General features: G+C 38.3%; 1 protein-coding gene across 11 annotated transcripts in view, besides 1 other annotated feature; it reads left to right on the top strand.

Annotated features, from left to right (window-relative positions):
- Positions 1 to 21,273, top strand: part of EXOC6B (exocyst complex component 6B) — a 650,050-nt gene that overhangs the window by 119,865 nt on the left and 508,912 nt on the right. The gene's annotated exons all lie outside the window — the stretch shown is intronic.
- Positions 10,935 to 11,229: an enhancer, noted in NCBI's record as "tiled region #2924; HepG2 Activating DNase matched - State 8:EnhW". NCBI's record gives its function as "activates a minimal TATA promoter and a strong SV40 promoter by Sharpr-MPRA in HepG2 cells {active_cell/tissue: HepG2}" and the evidence as "EXISTENCE:reporter gene assay evidence [ECO:0000049][PMID:27701403]".

Genomic DNA, 21,273 nt, shown 5'->3' with positions numbered 1-21,273 from the left:
AGTGCTTTGCAAAGAATTATCCAGAAGGGATGCATTCATATAGTATTAATATAAGTGAAGAAGGACTTGACCAAATTTTAAAAAATATCTTGTTAGAACAATAAATATGTAGCATATTTTCTAGGTAACTGATACATTTATTCTTCTATCCCAATGAAGTTTGGTTTATTCTTTTCTCTGGTCATTGATAATGAAGTGGATCAGAAATATAGGCTGGGAAGCACATTCAACAGGTAATGAGGACTGCCATAAAGTTTAATTAATTATTGTTAGGCTACTCAGTGATTGGGAATGAGGCACTTTTTTTATTCCCTCTTGTTTAAGATCTCAACAGAGAAATGAGCGCATAACCCAAAACATAGAAAAGTTAAAATTTTGTAAATGAAAAGAATTGTGTAGGTCTTGTGGCCACCTAAGTTGTTCCTTTTTATTGGGTGTGTGTGTGTGTGTGCGCATGCATGAGTGTGTGTGCAGAGGAGGAAATTATCATCAGATTAGGACAGTTGTGTGAGGGGATAGGAGAGGCTTTGTCAGGTTGTGGTGCTTACTTGCACGTGTGTGTGTATGTATGCACGTGTGTGTATGAAGTTAGCCAGTCATTGAGCTCTCTGTGTGTAGTTAGCCATTAGAACAGAACAGTGATAATGGATCTTTATTTGAACTTTAAAGTATCTGTAAATTTTTGAAAACAGAAAATATCATTTTAGAAATACAAGTGGCTTAGGAGTGGTGAGAGAGGGCATCCCTGTCTTGTGCCAGTTTTCAAAGGGAATGCTTCCAGTTTTTTCCCATTCAGTATGATATTGGCTGTGGGTTTGTCATAGATAGCTCTTATTATTTTGAAATACGTCCCATCAATACCTAATTTATTGAGAGTTTTTAGCATGAAGCGTTGTTGAATTTTGTCAAAGGCTTTTTCTGCATCTATTGAGATAATTGTGGTTTTTGTCTTTGGCTCTGTTTATATGCTGGATTACATTTATTGATTTGCGTATATTGAACCAGCCTTGCATCCCAGGGATGAAGCCCACTTGATCATGGTGGATAAGCTTTTTGATGTGCTGCTGGATTCAGTTTGCCAGTATTTTATTGAGGATTTTTGCATCAATGTTCATCAAGGATATTGGTCTAAAATTCTCTTTTTTTGTTGTGTCTCTGCCTGGCTTTGGTATCAGAATGATACTGGCCTCATAAAATGAGTTAGGGAGGATTCCCTCTTTTTCTATTGATTGGAATAGTTTCAGAAGGAATGGTACCAGTTCCTCCTTGTACCTCTGGTAGAATTCGGCTGTGAATCCATCTGGTCCTGGACTCTTTTTGATTGGTAAGCTATTGATTATTGCCACAATTTCAGCTCCTGTTATTGGTCTATTCAGAGATTCAACTTCTTCCTGGTTTAGTCTTGGGAGAGTGTATGTGTCCAGGAATTTATCCATTTCTTCTAGATTTTCTAGTTTATTTGCGTAGAGGTGTTTGTAGTATTCCCTGATGGTAGTTTGTATTTCTGTGGGATCGTTGGTGATATCCCCTTTATCATTTTTTATTGCGTCTATTTGATTCTTCTCTCTTTTTTTCTTTGTTAGTCTTGCTAGCGGTCTATCAATGTTGTTGATCCTTTCAAAAAACCAGCTCCTGGATTCATTAATTTTTTGAAGGGTTTTTTGTGTCTCTATTTCCTTCAGTTCTGCTCTGATTTTAGTTATTTCTTGCCTTCTGCTAGCTTTTGAATGTGTTTGCTCTTGCTTTTCTAGTTCTTTTAATTGTGATGTTAGGGTGTCAATTTTGGATCTTTCCTGCTTCCTCTTGTGGGCATTTAGTGCTATAAATTTCCCTCTACACACTGCTTTGAATGCATCCCAGAGATTCTGGTATGTTGTGTCTTTGTTCTCGTTGGTTTCAAAGAACATCTTTATTTGTGCCTTCATTTCGTTATGTACCCAGTAGTCATTCAGGAGCAGGTTGTTCAGTTTCCATGTAGTTGAGCGGTTTTGAGTGAGATTCTTAATCCTGAGTTCTAGTTTGATTGCACTGTGGTCTGAGAGATAGTTTGTTATAATTTCTGTTCTTTTACATTTGCTGAGGAGAGCTTTACTTCCCAGTATGTGGTCAATTTTGGAATAGGTGTGGTGTGGTGCTGAAAAAAATGTATATTCTGTTGATTTGGGGTGGAGAGTTCTGTAGATGTCTATTAGGTCCGCTTGGTTTCAACATAGTGTTGGAAGTTCTGGCCAGGGCAATTAGGCAGGAGAAGGAAATAAAGGGTATTCAATTAGGAAAAGAGGGAGTCAAATTGTCCCTGTTTGCAGACGACATGATTGTATATCTAGAAAACCCCATCGTCTCAGCCCAAAATCTCCTTAAGCTGATAAGCAACTTCAGCAAAGTCTCAGGATACAAAATCAATGTACAAAAATCACAAGCATTCTTATACACCAACAACAGACAAACAGAGAGCCAAATCATGAGTGAACTCCCATTCACAATTGCTTCAAAGAGAATAAAATACCTAGGAATCCAACTTACAAGGGATGTGAAGGACCTCTTCAAGGAGAACTACAAACCACTGCTCAAGGAAATAAAAGAGGATACAAACAAATGGAAGAACATTCCATGCTCATGGGTAGGAAGAATCAATATCGTGAAAATGGCCATACTGCCCAAGGTAATTTACAGATTCAATGCCATCCCCATCAAGCTACCAATGACTTTCTTCACAGAATTGGAAAAAACTACTTTAAAGTTCATATGGAACCAAAAAAGAGCCCACATCGCCAAGTCAATCCTAAGCCAAAAGAACAAAGCTGGAGGCATCACACTACCTGACTTCAAACTATACTACAAGGCTACAGTAACCAAAACAGCATGGTACTGGTACCAAAACAGAGATATAGATCAATGGAACAGAACAGAGCCCTCAGAAATAACGCCGCATATCTACAACTATCTGATCTTTGACAGACCTGAGAAAAACAAGCAATGGGGAAAGGATTCCCTATTTAATAAATGGTGCTGGGAAAACTGGCTAGCCATATGTAGAAAGCTGAAACCGGATCCCTTCCTTACACCTTATACAAAAATCAATTCAAGATGGATTAAAGACTTAAACGTTAGACCTAAAACCATAAAAACCCTAGAAGAAAACCTAGGCATTACCATTCAGGACATAGGCATGGGCAAGGACTTCATGTCTAAAACACCAAAGGCAATGGCAACAAAAGACAAAATTGACAAATGGGATCTCATTAAACTAAAGAGCTTCTGCACAGCAAAAGAAACTACCATCAGAGTGAACAGGCAACCTACAAAATGGGAGAAAATTTTCACAACCTACTCATCTGACAAAGGGCTAATATCCAGAATCTACAATGAACTCAAACAAATTTACAAGAAAAAAACAAACAACCCCATCAAAAAGTGGGCGAAGGACATGAACAGACACTTCTCAAAAGAAGACATTTATGCAGCCAAAAAACACATGAAAAAATGCTCATCATCACTGGCCATCAGAGAAATGCAAATCAAAACCACAATGAGATACCATCTCACACCAGTTAGAATGGCAATCATTAAAAAGTCAGGAAACAACAGGTGCTGGAGAGGATGTGGAGAAATAGGAACACTTTTACACTGTTGGTGGGACTGTAAACTAGTTCAACCATTGTGGAAGTCAGTGTGGCGACTCCTCAGGGATCTAGAACTGGAAATACCATTTGACCCAGCCATCCCATTACTGGGTATATACCCAAAGGACTATAAATCATGCTGCTATAAAGACACATGCACACGTATGTTTATTGCGGCATTATTCACAATAGCAAAGACTTGGAACCAACCCAAATGTCCAACAATGATAGACTGGATTAAGAAAATGTGGCACATATACACCATGGAATACTATGTAGCCATAAAAAATGATGAGTTCATGTCCTTTGTAGGGACATGGATGAAATTGGAAATCATCATTCTCAGTAAACTATTGCAAGAACAAAAAACCAAACACCGCATATTCTCACTCATAGGTGGGAACTGAACAATGAGATCACATGGACACAGGAAGGGGAATATCACACTCTGGGGACTGTTGTGGGGTGGTGGGAGGGGGGAGGGTTAGCATCGGGAGATATACCTAATACTAGATGACGAGTTAGTGGGTGCAGCGCACCAGCATGGCACATGTATACATATGTAACTAACCTGCACAATGTGCACATGTACCCTAAAACTTAAAGTATAATTAAAAAAAAAAAAAGAAATACAAGTGGCTTGTCATGGGAGATAATTGCCTTCTGTACCAGTGAGAGGTTAACTGGAAGGGAAGTAGAACATTCGAAAGCCCTTGTTTTTAAAAACAGTTTGCAGTGCTGATGGTTAAGATATGTTCTGGCTATGGCACACCACCATGAAGAATGTGGACTTTAAATTACATAGGACTCACTTGCAGAATACTAGGTGACAAAGTAGCTCTGGGGCAGGTATTTGGAGGAGGGAAACCTGTAGGTAAGATAGACTCCGGGAAGTAGAATTCCTTATGATAATCATTTATTGACAATTTCTTGAGGACATGAATCTGAATTGATTTCATCTTTTTGTTCCCACAGAACCTAGGTGTACTGCCTTGCTTTTCTTTTTTGACATATGCATTTAGGGACAGAGACTCTCCATGGATATTTTAAGAGTTTTAATATTTTCCTGCCTTTCTTAGGTGTTTACTTTGCTGATGAGACCTATGACTATTATATTCAACTTTGATATCTCTAGATACAATTTATCTTTGAAATCCCAGGTGGAATTTTTTCTCTTAGGTACAGCTTTTTTTTTTTTTTTTTTGAAGATGGAGTCTTGCTTTGTCACCAGGCTGGAGTGCAGTGGTACGATCTCGGCTCACTGCATCCTTTGACTTCCTGGTTCAAGTGATTCTCCTGCCTCAGCCTCCAGAGTAGCTGGGATTACAGGCACAACAACCATGCCCAGCTAATTTTTGTATTTTTAGTAGAGATGGGGTTTCACTATGTTGGCCAGGATGGTCTTGATCTCCTTGACCTCATGATCCACCTTCCTCAGCCTCCCAAAATGTTGGGATTACAGGCGTGAGCCACCGCACCTGGCCAGGTACAGTTTTATCTTGATTCTCCTCCAGTGAACACCGCTCTGTACCTACCAGTATATGGATTTTTTATTGTGGTAAAATATATATTACATAAAAGTTACCATTTTAATCTTTTTCTTTTGAGACAGAGTCGCCCAGGCTGGAGTGCAGTGGCACCATCTCGGCTCACTGCAACCTCTGTCTCCCAAGTTCAAGCGATTCTCTTGCCTCAGCCTCCCGAGTAGCTGGGATTACAGGCACCCTCCATCATGCCTGGCTAATTTTTGTATGTTTAGTAGAGATGGGGTTTTGCCATATTGGCAAGGCCTGACCTCAGGTGATCTGCCTGCTTCGGTCTCCCAAAGTGCTGGCATTACAGGTGTGAGCCACTGCGCCTGGCCCCATTTTAATCATTTTTAAGTATACAGTTATGTGGCTTTAAGAACATTCACATGGTTGTGCAGTCGTCAACACTGTCCATTTCCAGAACTTTTTCATTTTCTCAAACTGAAACTCTGTAACCACTGAATTTTAAACATACAATTTCGACCCCATTACTGATTGAACAAATGAAATATTTTATATATGTGTTGAGGAACTCACTGTAACCTCTAAGCAGAGAAGAAAATGAGGCAAATAACAAAACTGGAATTCACGTGACAGCTGTTAGCTTAGTAAGAAGATTGTCTCTAAATGTATAGATTTTTCTGTTCTTCAATTTCCTTAAGAAATTTGGTCAGGATTTAAAAAACTGGGAATAGCCCTTACTCTCTCAAAGTCTTCTAGTCTGGTGGTTGACACGGATAACTTTGTGTGTGTGTGTGTGTGTGTGTGTGTGTGTGTGTTTCTGTGGTCTTTGTATCTAACAGGATGCAGCCATCCCTCCAAATCCACAGATTCAGCCAGTGGCCGATGAAAATATTCGTAGAAAACCAAAACAATAAAAAACAACAATATAACAATAAAAATACTACAAATAAAAGCAATATAGTATAACAACTATTTGCATAGTTTTTACATTGTGTTAGATATTATAGGTAATCTAGAGATGATTTAAAATATAAAGGAGGATGTACATAGGTTATATGCAAATGTTACACCATTTTAGGTAAGGGACTTGAGCATCCACAGATACTGGTATTTGCAGAGAGGTCCTGGAACTAATCTCTTGTGGATACTGAGGGATGACTGTATATAGAAAGCCATATTTTTAGCTTAGATTTTGTGTGTAGTGCCATTAAAAGCTATCTTGAACCATGGTGGTCTTAGCCTACTTTTGCGGGCTATCCTGCCCTTGGATTTGGTAATTTTACCCTGGTGCCAGAGGATTTGAGGGTAATGATTATCTGTTTTTCAGTACTATAACATTGTTTTTTTTAATCAGGCTAAAGTCTGTTATTAATTTGTACCTTTCCTTTACCTCTAAATAAACCATATAAGAAAGCAAACAAATGCCAAAAAATAGTCCAGCCTACTTTCCAACAGAGTGTCTTCAGCTTTTCTTAGTCTACTAAACATATGGCTCTCCCAGCTTCCCTAATGAAGAAGTCTGTGGCCTAATGGGGCATGTATTGTTTGACTTTCTTTCTTTTTTTTTTTTTTTTTGAGACGGAGTCTCACTCTGTCGCCCAGGCTGGGATGCAGTGGCGCGATCTTGGCTCACTGCAACCTCTGCCTCCTGGGTTCAAGTGATTCTCTGCCTCAGCCTCCTGAGTAGCTGGGATTACAGGTACCCATCACCATGCCCAGCTAATTTTTCGTATTTTTAGTAGAGACAGGGTTTCATCATCTCAGCCAGGCTGTTCTTGAACTCCTGACCTCGTGATCCACCCGCCTTGGCTTCCCAAAGTGCTGGGATTACAGGCGTGAGCCACCGCGCCCGGCCATGTTTGACTTTCTTGATACGTCTTCAAGCAGAGTTTCTTCTATTAACTTTGGAGAAGGGAGCTATCTGTAGCAATAGTTCATAAGCATTTTAGGGATGTAAACTTTTTGAGAATGTAGTGAAACTCATGAACCTTCTTTTTTAGAAAAATTACCATGTGCACATAAAATGTCAGGGGATTTAGACACTCTCTGAAATAGATATATGTTCTTGTGAGAGCCCTCTAGATTATTAAGGTCCGTATCAATGTCAGAATCAGTAGTATATTCTGGGATGTTCCTTTTCTAGTTTCTTCATGATTTGTGAAGAGTATGTAGTAGAAAAGATTGAATAAAATTGTAAGCATCTCAGTTTAATTTTATACCATTAGTGAAAATGGGTGCTAACCTCACTAACATATTAACAAATAGGTTCAAGATGTTGGTATACTTTTCTGAGTAGCCAAGTTTAGATAATAGATTGGTGTCAGAGAATAAATTGACCTATATTTCATTTTGCTGTCGGCAGTGGTAAAATTGGATAAGGTTGTATTTTCAGACGTTGGTTTAGCTATAACTTCTCAAGCTTTTGCCACTTATTTTTTTCTTGCTCCTTATTTCTGTTGTACAGTTAGTACACAAGAAATAGAGAAGGGCAAGATAACAATGAAAAATGTTCTAATTTTGACTTGAAATAGTTAGAGATAATATAGTATGAGTAAGCATAAAATTGGTATTCATCTAAATGTTAATATTATTCAGTGTGACATGAAAAGGCATTTTACTTTGGTGAAGAGTTTACCTCCTTCTTTACAGAGATGCTCCCTTTTTCTTTATCGATAACCTTATCTCTTAACCAATGTCATAGAGAAACTGAGGGCTATTAGGCAGAAATTCTCTTGGCTTTCAGCACTCTTGTTCCTTAATTATCTGTCTCCACCATTCTTTATTGCTTTAATTCCATTCTCAGAGGAAGCGGTGATTCCTTCTGGTTAAGGCTATTTCTTCCACCTGTGCTCTGTGTCATTTCCTTGTACTGTCAGTTAATTCCTCTTTCTCCTCCCTTTATTTTTCAATCTTCCCCTCTCCAGTGACTCCACTTTGCACTTGACATGCCCAAGGTTCTCCTTTCATTGGCTGTATCACTGTACTCCCCCTCCCCATCACCAAACCACCACATGCTTTTCTTCTCTTATTTCCTGTCTCTTTGAATGATATTGCCATTGATCTAATATAGAAATATGCCATGCTAAGAAATTCGGTCTTTATATATAGGTCCCTGAGGGTTTTAAGTTAGGGCTAGAAAGGGGCATGATTAGATTTAACACTCTTTGTCATTCTTTCTACCAGTTGGTTGAGATCACTATCTTAGTTGTAGTGATATTAGTGTAGTAAGTAAAATATTGTGGGATGGTGGAGTATGCACAATATTATAAAGTGCAGACGCATTCTATTAGTAAAAGAATATTAGAACTATGGAGACTCTTACTTTCTGGCATAGTTAGGAATTTCTAATTTTTGGAAATAGAGGTGAGACAGGCAGGGTCTGGCTCTGTTGCCCAGGCTAGAGTGCAGTGGTACAATCTTGGCTTACTGCAACCTCTGCCTCCCAGGCTCAAGCCATCCTCCCACCTCAACCTCCTGAGTAGCTGGAACCACAGGCATGCACCACCATGCCCGGCTAATTTTTGTATTTTTTGTAGAGATAGGTCTTTTTTGTTGCCCAGGCTGGTCTTGAACTCCTGAGTTCAAGCGATCTGCCTACCTTGGCTTCCAAAAGTTCTGGGATTACAGGCAGGATCCACCATGCCAAACCTGAAGAGATTCTTTTTTTTCAGCTTTACTACATGACCTAGTGCATGGCAGCTTACTAGGAATATTCAAAAATTTTTAAGAGATTTTCTTAAAAAATTTTGAATTTTCTTCAAAGGAAGTGGGACATTTGTGCCCAATATCTGTATTTATAAATGATATATGTGTACTATTCTCATTAGCTCAGTCAGTGGCTACAAACCTTTTTGATTATGGGCTGCCATCAATAAAATATTTTTGTGTGTGTATACCCCATATCTATATCTATATCTATATCTATATCTATATCTATATCTATATCTGTATATAAAAATCATACACACATGTACTACTCTCATTAGCTAGTATGTTAAGGCAGGATAGACATTTAGAGAGAGGTCCATTGTTAATAATACATTTAAATTCCTTGTACAGATAGCCTTCTTGATAATTTCAAATTTTGTATGTTCTTTTCTGTCATATCTGATCATTATATTTACCACATAATATATTTGACCAGGGGCTCTTAGCAGGTGTATCAGTTATTCATTGCTGTGTAACAAACCACCCCAAACTTAATGGCTTAAAACAATACTGACTTATCATTTTTTTATGATACCATAGATAGCGCTTCAGTCTGGGCACAGCTAGGGAATTTGTCTTCTGGCCTCCCCAGGAATCACTCATGTTCCTGGCTGGCAGTTGGTGTTAGTTGTTGGATAGGTTATCTCAGTTCTCCACATGGTGTCTTATTCCCCAGTAGACTAAACTGCTTCATCATTGCATGGTGGCGTTATGGTTTGGAGAGGGAGAGAAATCAAACTGCTGTGCCTCTTCAAACCCAGTCTCCAGAATCTGACAATGTCCACTACATTGTATTAGCCAAAACAAGTCCCACAGCCAATTTAGAGTCAAGAACATGGAGAAATGGCTCTAATCTCTTGATGAAAGAAGCAGCAGTGTCACATTGCAAAGGCACATGGGCACAGGGAGAGATGATCTACTGGGGACCGTTATTATAATGGTCTTTGCACATCAAGTTGAAGATAGGTATTAACCTTGCTATTTTCTTGTCATTTACATGTGCTACTATTAGCATTATTTACAAACCACAGGAATATTTTAGGAATATTTTAAGGCCATTTGTCCATTTTGTACATGTTTAAAAGTGGATAATCTAGTTTTATTTATCTGAGCACCTATAATCTGCAATATAGCACAATAAACTGAAAGAAAATAACTAAATGAGAATATTACTGTCAATTATTCTGCATTGTCTTTCCCCAGTATAGTATAGTTTGAATTCTGTATGTGATACATGACTGACATATGGAGAGTAAGGAAGGGTATCATTGTTATTTTAAAATCAAATGTTAGTAACTTAGTTTCTTTCTTTTTTTTAAGATGAAAATTATATATATATACACCAGTAGATTGTTTTTGGATAACCTTGAAACTTCGGAGCCATTGGTCTAACTGATGTGGAATAGTTAAGTGCCACAAGTGGTATTGTTATGTCCATTAGTGTCAGCCCTGACAGATGTGATTCAGCATGGCACTCTTCCCACTGCACTGGAGTGAGCCTTAGAGCCCTTTTCAATGCAAAGATCTAGGCTAGCCTTCAGAAATGGTTAGTAAATGACACCTAAGATAATTTTTTTTTATTCTTGTTATGAGAGATGAGTTTTACTTGTGGAAGAGGTACAATATTCATATATTTTAGAATAGGCATTTTAGGAAAGATCTTAACTCTGTCTATGTGGGTGTCTGTGTTTGTGTTTGGGGGTTTGTATCCTGGAGTTAGGGAGATCCTGACTTTCATCTCTGCTTTAGCTATTTGTTTATTTTTGGATACTTATGGAGACACTTCATCTATGCTTTAATAATTTTTCTTTTTTTGAAAAAAGTATCAATGACAACTTTTCTTTGGTTTCTCTGTTCAAAAAAAAACCTTAAAGAATACTTTCATATATTTTTAACTTGTATTTATGATGAAGAAAACAAGTGTTTATTCCTAACATATGAGGTTTGTTTTAATCCTCTTGTCTACGCAGCCCAGTTCACAGTTGCAGTTTCCTGATGTACGTGAATTTGCTGATCTGAGTTCTTTGGCTTTTCATACGTGGTTGTCCTATTGTACTGCAGGAGCTTTGTGCTTTTACTAAGTTTACTACTAGAAAAGCCTTGCTAAAATTCTAGTGTACTCTCAGCTACTTCTCTTATAGCTGTGTCTTGGTGACTAAAGAGAATTCTTCTTCCATGTAGCCAGAGAGATTAACAGATGTCCGAGCTGAACCCCAAAGCATCCAGCCGTCTTTCCCGCTTTGACCCTGTAACCTCTCCCCTGGTTGGCAGTGTGCCTGTGTTGACAGTTCTCCTGGTTCAGCCAAAGGTGAAAGATAATTGCTTGTGGAGTAGCGGCTGGGATGGTATGTGTTTTTGTAGCAAGCATCCCCACCCCCGTCTCCAGGCAAAGCCTTGAATCTGGTGCATATTTCAAAGCATGTGTTAAACTTTATGTGATACTGATTAAAATGGAGGGCTCCAGGGTGAATTGGCAGAGTCCCACAACTGCATCTGCCAAATGACATACAGAGAAAATGTCTTGCTACAAATGGAAGGGCTGAAACCTGTCTATCTTAGCAATATGTAAGCCTGCAAAAGGAAAGGTGACTCCGGCCATGTGTATATACACAGCCTGTGGAACATGCAAGATTCTTTAGCAACTCCTTTGTTCCTATGGCATTTTAATGCAAAAGAAAGTCTTTTTATTTTCCTTCCCCTTCAAACAACAATAACAACAAAACCCATATGGAAATAATAGTATTACATGTCAGTGCTCCATTCCCATTGAACATTTGTTTAAAAATCTAACTTGGACCAAAAATATGGAGGTGGAAGAATTATCTATCTTCTGAAACTAGATTTGTGAGTCACTGAGATAAGATCTGTGAAGTTCACTCTTTTATTTTATTTTTTATTTTTTTGAGACAGAGTCTTGCTCTGTTACCCACGCTGTAGTACAGTGGCACCATCTCAGCTCACTGCAACCTCCGCCTCCCAGGGTCAAGCGATTCTCCTGCCTCAGTTTCCTGAGTAGCTGGGATTACAGGCGCCCACCACCATGTCTGGCTAATTTTAGTATTTTTAGTAGAGATGGGATTCCCATGTTGGCCAGGCTGGTCTCAAGCTCCTGACCTCAAGTGATCTGCCTGTGAATGCCTCTTCCAAAGTGCTGGGATTACAAGTGTGAGCTACCATGCCCCACCAGTTCATTCTTGAAGGAAGAAAGCTCTTTTCAAAGCAGAAAATTTGTATCCAGAGCTTTTAGATTCAAGGTCTCCTTAGGACATTCTTTTAGAAAGAAATATGCATTTATATCATAGGCATAGATCAACACTTCCTCAAAAGCAATGTAGACAACATTAGTATCTCATGTCACATTTCCTCACCCTGCTTTTATGACAAGTTAGGATAGAGAAACCATCAGTTCCTTAAAGGGATTTGGATATATTTTTTTAGGAAAGCAGAAAGGATAAGAAATTTAGAGGAGTAAGGATGAGTGGCACAAGGAAAAAAAAAAAGAAAAAAGGAAGAAAAGTTTGTGGAAAGAGGAAGGTAAGTAGATAAATAGGGAAGTAAACCAGGTTTCTAATTCATGGGTGAATCCGAGAGAATAGGTATCAGATTAGGGATTACAAAATGTAGCATGGGTACTAAATATCAGTACAAAGCAGCCACAATAATATTGATTTATGGATTTAAGTAACCCGACCAAACCTTGATGTATCTCATCATGTTGAATTTCTGCTCCAGATAATAAAGTATTGTTTGATCTTGTGCATTGGCCTTTTATTTTTCAGAATGATTCAAAGGATGGCTTTGGGGATTCACTGTAAGATTTTTTGTCATCTAAATTATACTTGAGGTGGAGAGGCATAATTTAAACAACTTCATAGGCAAAGAAAAGAGCTATACACAGCAGATCCTGGATTAGGAAAATAAATACGTTTTATTATTCAGAACATGCTTTTATGAACTCCTTTTAAAAAATTGCAAGCCTTGCAGTGAGCTGAGATTGCACCACTGCACTCCAGCCTGGATGACAGAGAAAGACTCCGTCTCAAAGAAAAAAAAAAAACCTGCAAACCTTATACATATGGAGATATTCTAGTTTTCCAGGTGAGACCATCTGAGTCTGTTTTGCTTTTAAGTGTTTTCTGAGATGTGTTATATTTTTTTGTTAACTCAGATTGCTTCTTTTCCTTCTTTGGATGTGGGGGCAGGGAATATATAGGGAACTGAAAGAGAAAATGCTAGAGCTGTTTGCCTACCATTTTTGAGCTTTTCTTGAATTTCATACAATTTCTTCAGTTTCCTCTGGTATTAAAGCTCAGTGTTTCAGTCACAAAGATACTTATTTCTAAACCATATTTTTGACTTAATCTTCTTTAAGGATAGTTTAGGGGAGTTGATAATCTGTTTTTCTTTCTCCTAGAGTTTTAGTTGGGTCAAATAGGACTTGCCCAGAGGATATTAGTATTGACTTCATGTAAAAGAAGTTTGAAACCTAAGATTCCACTTAGTTTCCTCTCTTGGGCTTTTGTAGAATATTTTGCACAGAGAGAAATATGCAGCTGGATTGTAGTCAGCCACTAAATCCTAGTGAGTGCCTCTTTCTTCTAAGGACCATCTTAGAGTTTCAAATGGGTCAATTACTAAAAGGAAGCTTCATCTTACGTGAAGCATTCTTAATTGATAAAGAATATAGTGAAAAAGGCCAGGCGCAGCGGCTCACGGCTGTAATTCCAGCACTTTGGGAGGCCAAGGTGGGTGGATCACGAGGTCAGGAGATGGAGACCATCCTGGCTAACATGGTGAAACCCCGTCTCTTCTAAAAATACAAAAAATTAGCCGGGCATGGTGGTGGGCGCCTGTAGTCCCAGCTGCTCAGGAGGCTGAGGCAGGAGAATGGCATGAACCCGGGAGGCAGAGCTTGCAGTGAGCCGACATCGTGCCACTGCACTCCAGCCTAGGCGACAGAGCGAGACTCTGTCTCAAAAAAAAAAAAAAAGAATATGGTGAAAAAGGAAGAGGAAAATTCTATACACTTCTTAGTGTAGTGAAAGTTGTAAAAGAGAAGCAGGAATAATAGAGAAGGAATTAGTAATCATATAGTAATCATATCAGTAATCATACAGTAAGCATATAATAATCATATAGTAAGCATATGCTAATCAATTAGTGATCATATCAGTAATCATCTAGTAAGCATATAATAATTAACACTTTCACCTCATTAACTTATTCTATGTGTGAAAGATTACCTTTGTTCGTTTATTCTTTCAATCAACACATAGCTATTGTGTATATGTTAAAAACAAGTTACTATACAGTATGTCAGATGGTGGTATTTGCTATGGAGAGAATAAAGAGGGGAACAGGGGCTGGGCGCAGTGGCAAACACCTGTAATCCCAGCACTTTGGGAGGCTGAGGCAGACGGATCACCTGAGGTCAGGATTTCAAGACCAGACTGGCCAACATGGTGAAACCCCATCTCTTCTAAAAATAGAAAAAAAAAATCCAGGTGGGGTGGTGGGCACCCGTAATCCCAGCTACTCAGGAGGCTGAGGCAGGAGAATCGTTTGAACTGAGGAGGCCGAGGTTGCAGTGAGCTGAGATTGCACCACAGTACTCCAGCCTGGGCGACAAGGGCGAAACTCCATCTCAAAAAAAAAAAAAAAAATAGATATACAACATTGTATTGATCCCAGAGAAGCCCTGCTAGTTTATAGTTTCTTTTTATAAGCGTTCCTGTTAAATTTTTTTTACCCATATAGTTCTGTTTTCTGAGATATTAATGAGAAATAGAATAAAAGTTATTTATAAAATATTATTGATTAACCTATTCAACTTCATATTCATAATGGTATTTTCTATAAGCTAAACTATGTTGTGTGTTCAGATTTTTTCTTTTAAATTTTGGTCCCTCCGTTAATAGTTCTATTTCTCGGTAGATTTATTAATTTCCTAGGGCTGCTGTAACAAAGTACTACAAACTAGGTGACTTTAAAAAACAACAGAAATTTATTATCTCACAGGTCTGGAGTCTAGAAATCTAAAATCCAGGCTGGATTGGTTCCTTTTTCAGTGCTCACAGAGAATTTGTTTCATGCTTTTCTCCTAGCTTATGGTTGCTGCCAGCAATCCTCTGTGTTCCTTGATTTGTGATAGCATAACTCCAGTCTCTCCCTTTTCATCACACAGCATTTTCCTTGTGTGTCTGTATCTCTTCTTCTTTTTATTGTATTTATTTTATTTTATTTTAAATAATAGAGATGGAGTCTTGCTATGTTTCCCAGGCTGGTCTTGAACTCCAGAGCTCAAACCATCCTCCTGCCTCAGCCTCTCGAAGTATTGGGATTACAGGTGTGAGCCATCATGCCCAGCGTCTTCTTTTAAATATGCCAATCATATTGGATTAAGGCCCACCCTGAAGACCTCATTTAACTTTATTACATCTGCAAAGACCCTAATTCCAAATAAGATCACATTCACAGGTATTAGGAATGAGGACTTGAACAAATATTTTTGGGAGACACAATTTAAGCCACAGAAGAATTTAAGTTAACTGAGTACCTGACATGTCCAGCATCTTTCTCTGTATTGTTGTGCCATGTGGACATGTGGAAATGAGCCCCAAGTACCCCAGAAATCTTTAGTGTAAGAAAGCCTATACTTCATGAAAAACTAAGAAGATATAACAGGCTCTATATTTAGAAACTGAGACTAGTACTGTAAATAAAAAGTTGTTGAATTGCTTAGAATTGCTTAGAAAGACTACTGCATTTGGTAAGTTAGTAAAGTCAGTAGTAGTTAATCAGTGACTTTTTTTGTGTGGCTGTTAATTACAAAGACTTATATTAGATATTGTCAAGGGATTCAAAATAAAGACTCAAATGAGAACCTTTTCAGGAATAGTGAATTGACATGATCAACTGATATTTTAAATATTGAGGGAAATTGAGAATAAAGGAATGATCAGGCTAGTTTACCTTAGAAAGTAAGATATTCTGCTTAATAAAGAATTTTTCTCATGGAAATAAATCATTGGAATATGTATAGGGACATGGGGATATGGGAAAAGAAGGCCAAAGTCATTTTTATGATCTATAGAAAGAGATATTTGTTAATTATAACACTGCTATCCTTAGTTATCATGTACCCAAGATGGTAGTCAAATGATGCAAATATTACTGATGATATGAAACATCTGTTTAGAGGTTTTATGTTATTATTGACATTTTTGGAAGTAGGTCAGTGTTTTTTCCTCATAGCCTCATAGGCAGAAAAATAAGTGCTCTGAACAAAAGCAACTTCTTTGGGCAAGCCAGCTACAGAAACTTGGCAATAAACTGGTTTGAACTAACAGTTTAATTTCTGGGTTTTGATAAACCATCTCTGTCCTCCTGTTGTGAAGAATTCAAACTTGTATAACAAATTGTCTTGGCTTAGTCATAGCTGGAATGAGAAGCTTAGCAATACTCCACTGGATATTTTATGTATGCTTTCGACAGTCTCTTTAATTGTCCCAGAAAACTTAGGGACACTTGAGTATGCACCTAGCTATGTCCCCTGTGCTGCATTATGGACTCATGGGAAAGTTGGCAAACTCTGCCCACAATTGTGCATACTTAAACTGGGACGTGGTGATCAGATTGCAAGGAGAGATAGTAGAATCCCTAGGAGAACAAGCGTGTGAGTAAGGATCCTGGCACAGCAGTCCGGAGTTTGCCACAGGGCCCGAATATCAGAAAGGAGCATTGATTCAACCATTCAGACCTAGTCTTCACCCCTAACCTCACTTCATAGCCAATCAATTATATCCCCTAGGATATGAAACTGAAAGATTATATCATTAGGAATCCCAGTCCTTCTACTGTGGTGTACCTATCTTTAAACAAAGTAGATATTACAAAGGAAGGTATTTTTGTGAAGAAGAGAGAGAGACTGAGAGAGAGAGACTCCTATAGAAATATGAAGTGCGCTGTGAGTGAGAACATGAGTGGAGACTGAGGTTTAACCACTTTGATAAGTGATGTTTTTGAGCCAATGGGTTTAGAGATATAATACTGTTAGAGTAACCTAAAAGGATGCTCTGGTTAATGGGCCTAGGAGACATTCAGGTTGCATTTACCTTTCGGAAATTTCATATTACAGCCAGGTATGATTTTTAGTTTTGGCTACCCAATCATGAAATAAAGTAACGTACATTTCTGCTCAGTTGCTCTGGGCTAAAATTCTTATAGCAGAGAATTGACATAATTATTGTGAACATGGAAGTTAATAAACATTATGTTTTGGAAGTTTAAAATGGTAGTCATAAGTTTAGTTTTTATTTTTACCTCAATTTTCTTTTGGACCTAATGCATCACTTTATTGCTTTAGGCTCGTTTTCTCATTGGTAAAACAGAGATGACTAATATTTAACTATAATACAGAGTGATCGGGTTAGTACCATGAACTAAAATGTTGTACAGTTGTGCATAGATAATTTGGTAAAAGTGCTTGATAATGTTTGGACCCCTGTCATTTACTACTAGGTATTAGCTTTCTTAAACACAAGGAAGAATTCAAGAGTGAACTTATAAGAGTGATTTTTACATTGAATAAGATAGTGACACAGATTAGCTCAGTTATCATGGTGGACGTAGCAGATGCTGTTAATGCCTTGTTCATATCCCTTTAGTTCTTACCTTCAGTGCATGCTGACTGAACCTTCAGTTTGCTAGCACCTGCATCTCTTTGCCAAAGGGCTTTCTCTGGAAGCCAGAAATGGGGAATTAATACCACCTCTTCTCTCCTCCTGCCCCCTGCCCCTGCCCCTGCCCCTGCCCCAGTAGTCCTCAGCTCATAACTCATGGAAGCTGGTGTATAAATACTTCAGCTTCCTTGCCCACCAGGAAGGAGGATGGTGTGGAATACCTCTGAGGCAGGTATTCTATGCCATTTCTGAGTTCCCCATGAAAATAAGTTTTAGTTGACCTAACTTGCTTGATAACATATCCTTTATTGACTTCTTTTCCTGTCTCACTTCCTCATGTCTCTACTTATCCTTTCTGGGGTCCTCTCCTAAGTAAATTTCTTGGACTCAAATCCTTGTTTCAGATTCTCCTTCTGGGGGAACTTAAAATAAGACAGTAGTCAAGAGCATTGAAAAGTCTGGACCCTATTTCTGTACATGCTCAGCAATTAATGTGGGTTTATAGTGGATCCAAGACATAGGATACTTAATGTCAACTCCCATCGAAGTTATTCTCCCATTCCCTCCCTTTAATACTAGGGTGATCTGGGTGGACAGTTACCTTGGTGGGGCTGGGAGTGGGTCCTTTGTCAGTATCTTTTGGTGATTTTTTTTGGAGGGGCTGGTAAAATTACCCCAACAATGAGCTTCTAGAATTTTTCTTGCATGCCAGCATTTTAAGATGTCTGTGTGTGGTGGGGGAGGGAAGATTGGGGATATCAGCATGCACTATGTAAGCTCTCATACTTAATCCCCTGTTTTCAGAATAGTGTCCTTCTCCTCAATTGTGATAGCTGTGCCAGTCAGGAGATGCTTTATTTTACTGTACATAGTATATAAAGAATAAATCTCCAACTTTTTGCTGTGGTGAGAGAGGGACAGTTGTTTGGCAAGATGAAGTGAGAAAGGTGATCTCAGGGTCTAACCTCCTCTTAAGCAGACTTTCAGCTTAACCCCTTTAAGCTTCATTTTCTGCCTTTCCTTCCAGAGATACCCAGTGTTACCAATGTGTTATAATCAAACTGCCTTTTGGATTTCTTCCCTACTTAACGTTGTTTCCTTACCACACTGGACTAACTTCCAAAATTTTTGTTGCTGTTGGTTTTTCTTCTGTACCTGTTGATTTTGTGGGGTTTTGCCTGAAAAAAAAAAGCTATTTAATTTTGTTTTAGTCAAGTTTTGAGGAGGGAGGTGAGCTTAGTGCATGTGTTTGATTGGCCATCTTTAACTTGAAGTCATAGAAGTTAGTGTTCACCAAAGAAAACATAAAAATAAAATACGGCTGTGCAGCCAACAGTATTGAACAAAATGTTAGGTTGCATATAGTGCCCCAGTCATTAACAATTTATATATTTCTGAGCATCTGAAGAAAAATATTTCAAGTAATTATTTCTTACCAGCCTATCCATAAAATACTATAAAGTAAGAAAAACATAAGAATGAAAGTTGGGAAGTTGGGGAAAAAACAAAGGTTTTTTTTTTTTTTTGAGACACAGTCTGGCTCTGTCACCCAGGCTGGAGTGCAGTGGCGTGATCTTGGCTCAGTGCAACCTCTGCCTTCCAGGTTCAAGCAATTCTCCTGCCTCAGCCTCCCGAGTAGCTGGGACTACAGGCGCCCGCCACCACGCCCGGCTAATTTTTTGTCTTTTTAGTAGAGATGGGGTTTCACTGTCTTAGGCAGGATGGTCTCCATCTCCTGACCTCGTGATCTGCCTGCCTCGGCCTCCCAAAGTGCTGGGATTACAGACATGAGCCACCGCCCAGCTGAAGCGAAGGTTTTATGATTTTTAGTATGTATGAGATATGTACTCCCTATTTGTGTAGGACATATTGAATATCATTTGGAATGTTGGTGCTATTTATATGTATTGTACTGGGCTTCTTCTTTTGTAGTCAGAAGGAATAAGACTCATACCAATAATACTTATTATGGCTTGCATGAGAAGTTCAAGTCTTTGAACATAAATAATTTAGAAAGTTTGATTAACTTTATTGACGGGGTAAGTAAAGAATTCAGTATCTTGCTTATGGTTATACAGAAGCCTCAAAACAGAACACTAATTCTTTATCTCTGAAACCCGGACTTTTCACATACTACCTGTTTCAAAAAATCTGTACCTTATTCATAAGTTGTTTTGCTTTTAGGAATATCAGATAATAATTGTACATTCTAAGATATCTATTGAAAATAGTACTTCTTCTCTAAGAGAGTATCTCTCTCTTTCTCTACCCCATGGTACTGTTTGTTTTATTCTATGTTAAACCTTATTAACTCAGTGAATTTTATATGTAGCATGTTTGTTAAGTTACAGAATTCTGTGGGTGGTTTTCCTATCATGCTTCTTTCATTCCTTGGACTTAAAAGACTGAGCCTACCTAAGGAAATCCACTTTACCAAACTTCAGACTTCATATACCATGGAACTTAAAAGAAGAAAAACTCTTGGCTAAGCCTGAATGCTGAGAACCAGCTAAGTGGATTCCTCTGTCCGGAGAAAATTGGGGAAAAAAAAGGGAATTATCAAGCTCAGCAAATGTAGTTGTTGATGGAAATGCTGACAGACTGGTCCTGCTTGGTGCCACTGTCGTGAGAAGTCAGTCAATGGTTGATGTATTGTAAGAGCTGCTACTTATATACAAGTTCTGTCTTGTAGGCTTTGTCACATATAAATAAACCCCTTCAAAAAAATGTTAAGTGATTTCCATAAAAAACATTTATTCTGTTCTCCTTCTTAAGCCAAATTCTTGTTGTTTATGGCTTCCTGTACCCAATAGTTCCTGATTGTCTCAAAAAGCAAAACATGTCCTGCATGGATTAAGCTGCTGAAATGCCTTTTAGGCATTGTTTATGAGTCTGCACTCTTTATTTTCAGAGAGAAAGCGAATACTTTAATGTCTTCCATATTCCATAAATCTGTCCCATGTTACAATTCAAGGCTGTGTGTGTTTTTGTTAGAAGGTACTTCTGGTTGTACTTAGAGTAGAAAAGCTGCCTAAGAATGTTAGTGAGTATTTGGGTGGTAGTGGCAGACTCCCCTAAAGGGGATCTAGTACTGGTTGAAAGTACTGTTGTTTTTTTTGGATCAAAAAAACAGTTACCATAGGTGCTGTTACAGTCAGTAGAAGTGTAGTCACTCTGATTGCTTTGCATCAGTGACTGTCCTTTTCGGCTCATCCTTTGGGACCAATCTTCCCTCTGGACAAACTTGCTAATTTACCACTTTTGACCCCCACTGCTAAGTAGCACACAGAATACGCCTGCCTACTGCTCTAAGTAGAGGGAAATTGACTTTGCTTGCCACAAAATGAGACTATATCTGGAGACTGAGCAAAAAGTAATTTGACTTGGAGATCAAAGTTTACTTTTTTTTTCTTAACATTTCATTTTGAAAAATTTCAAACATACAGAAAAGTTGGGAAAATTGTGTAGTCAACAACCATATTTACTTACCACCTAGATTCTATCAATATGATTAATCTCTTACAACTTGCTTTATTATATATCCATCTATTATCCATCAACCCATCACATCTTATTTATGCATTTTAAAGTGAGTTTGAGACCTAGGTACACTTCACCTCTAAACACTTCAGGATGCATAATATTAGTTAGAGGTCAATATTTGATTTTTTTTCTTTTGAGGTAAATTTTAAATACCTCAAATCTACGCAAATCTGAAGCGAGTTTTTGACAAATGCTTAACCTAAACCCCTATCTTGCCTGCTTAAC

Source organism: Homo sapiens, chromosome 2 (assembly GCF_000001405.40).
Source record: "Homo sapiens chromosome 2, GRCh38.p14 Primary Assembly".
Lineage (NCBI taxonomy): Eukaryota > Metazoa > Chordata > Mammalia > Primates > Hominidae > Homo > Homo sapiens.
The sequence above is the reverse complement of the archived record's forward strand: the minus strand, read 5'-3'. Positions and strand labels throughout refer to the sequence as shown.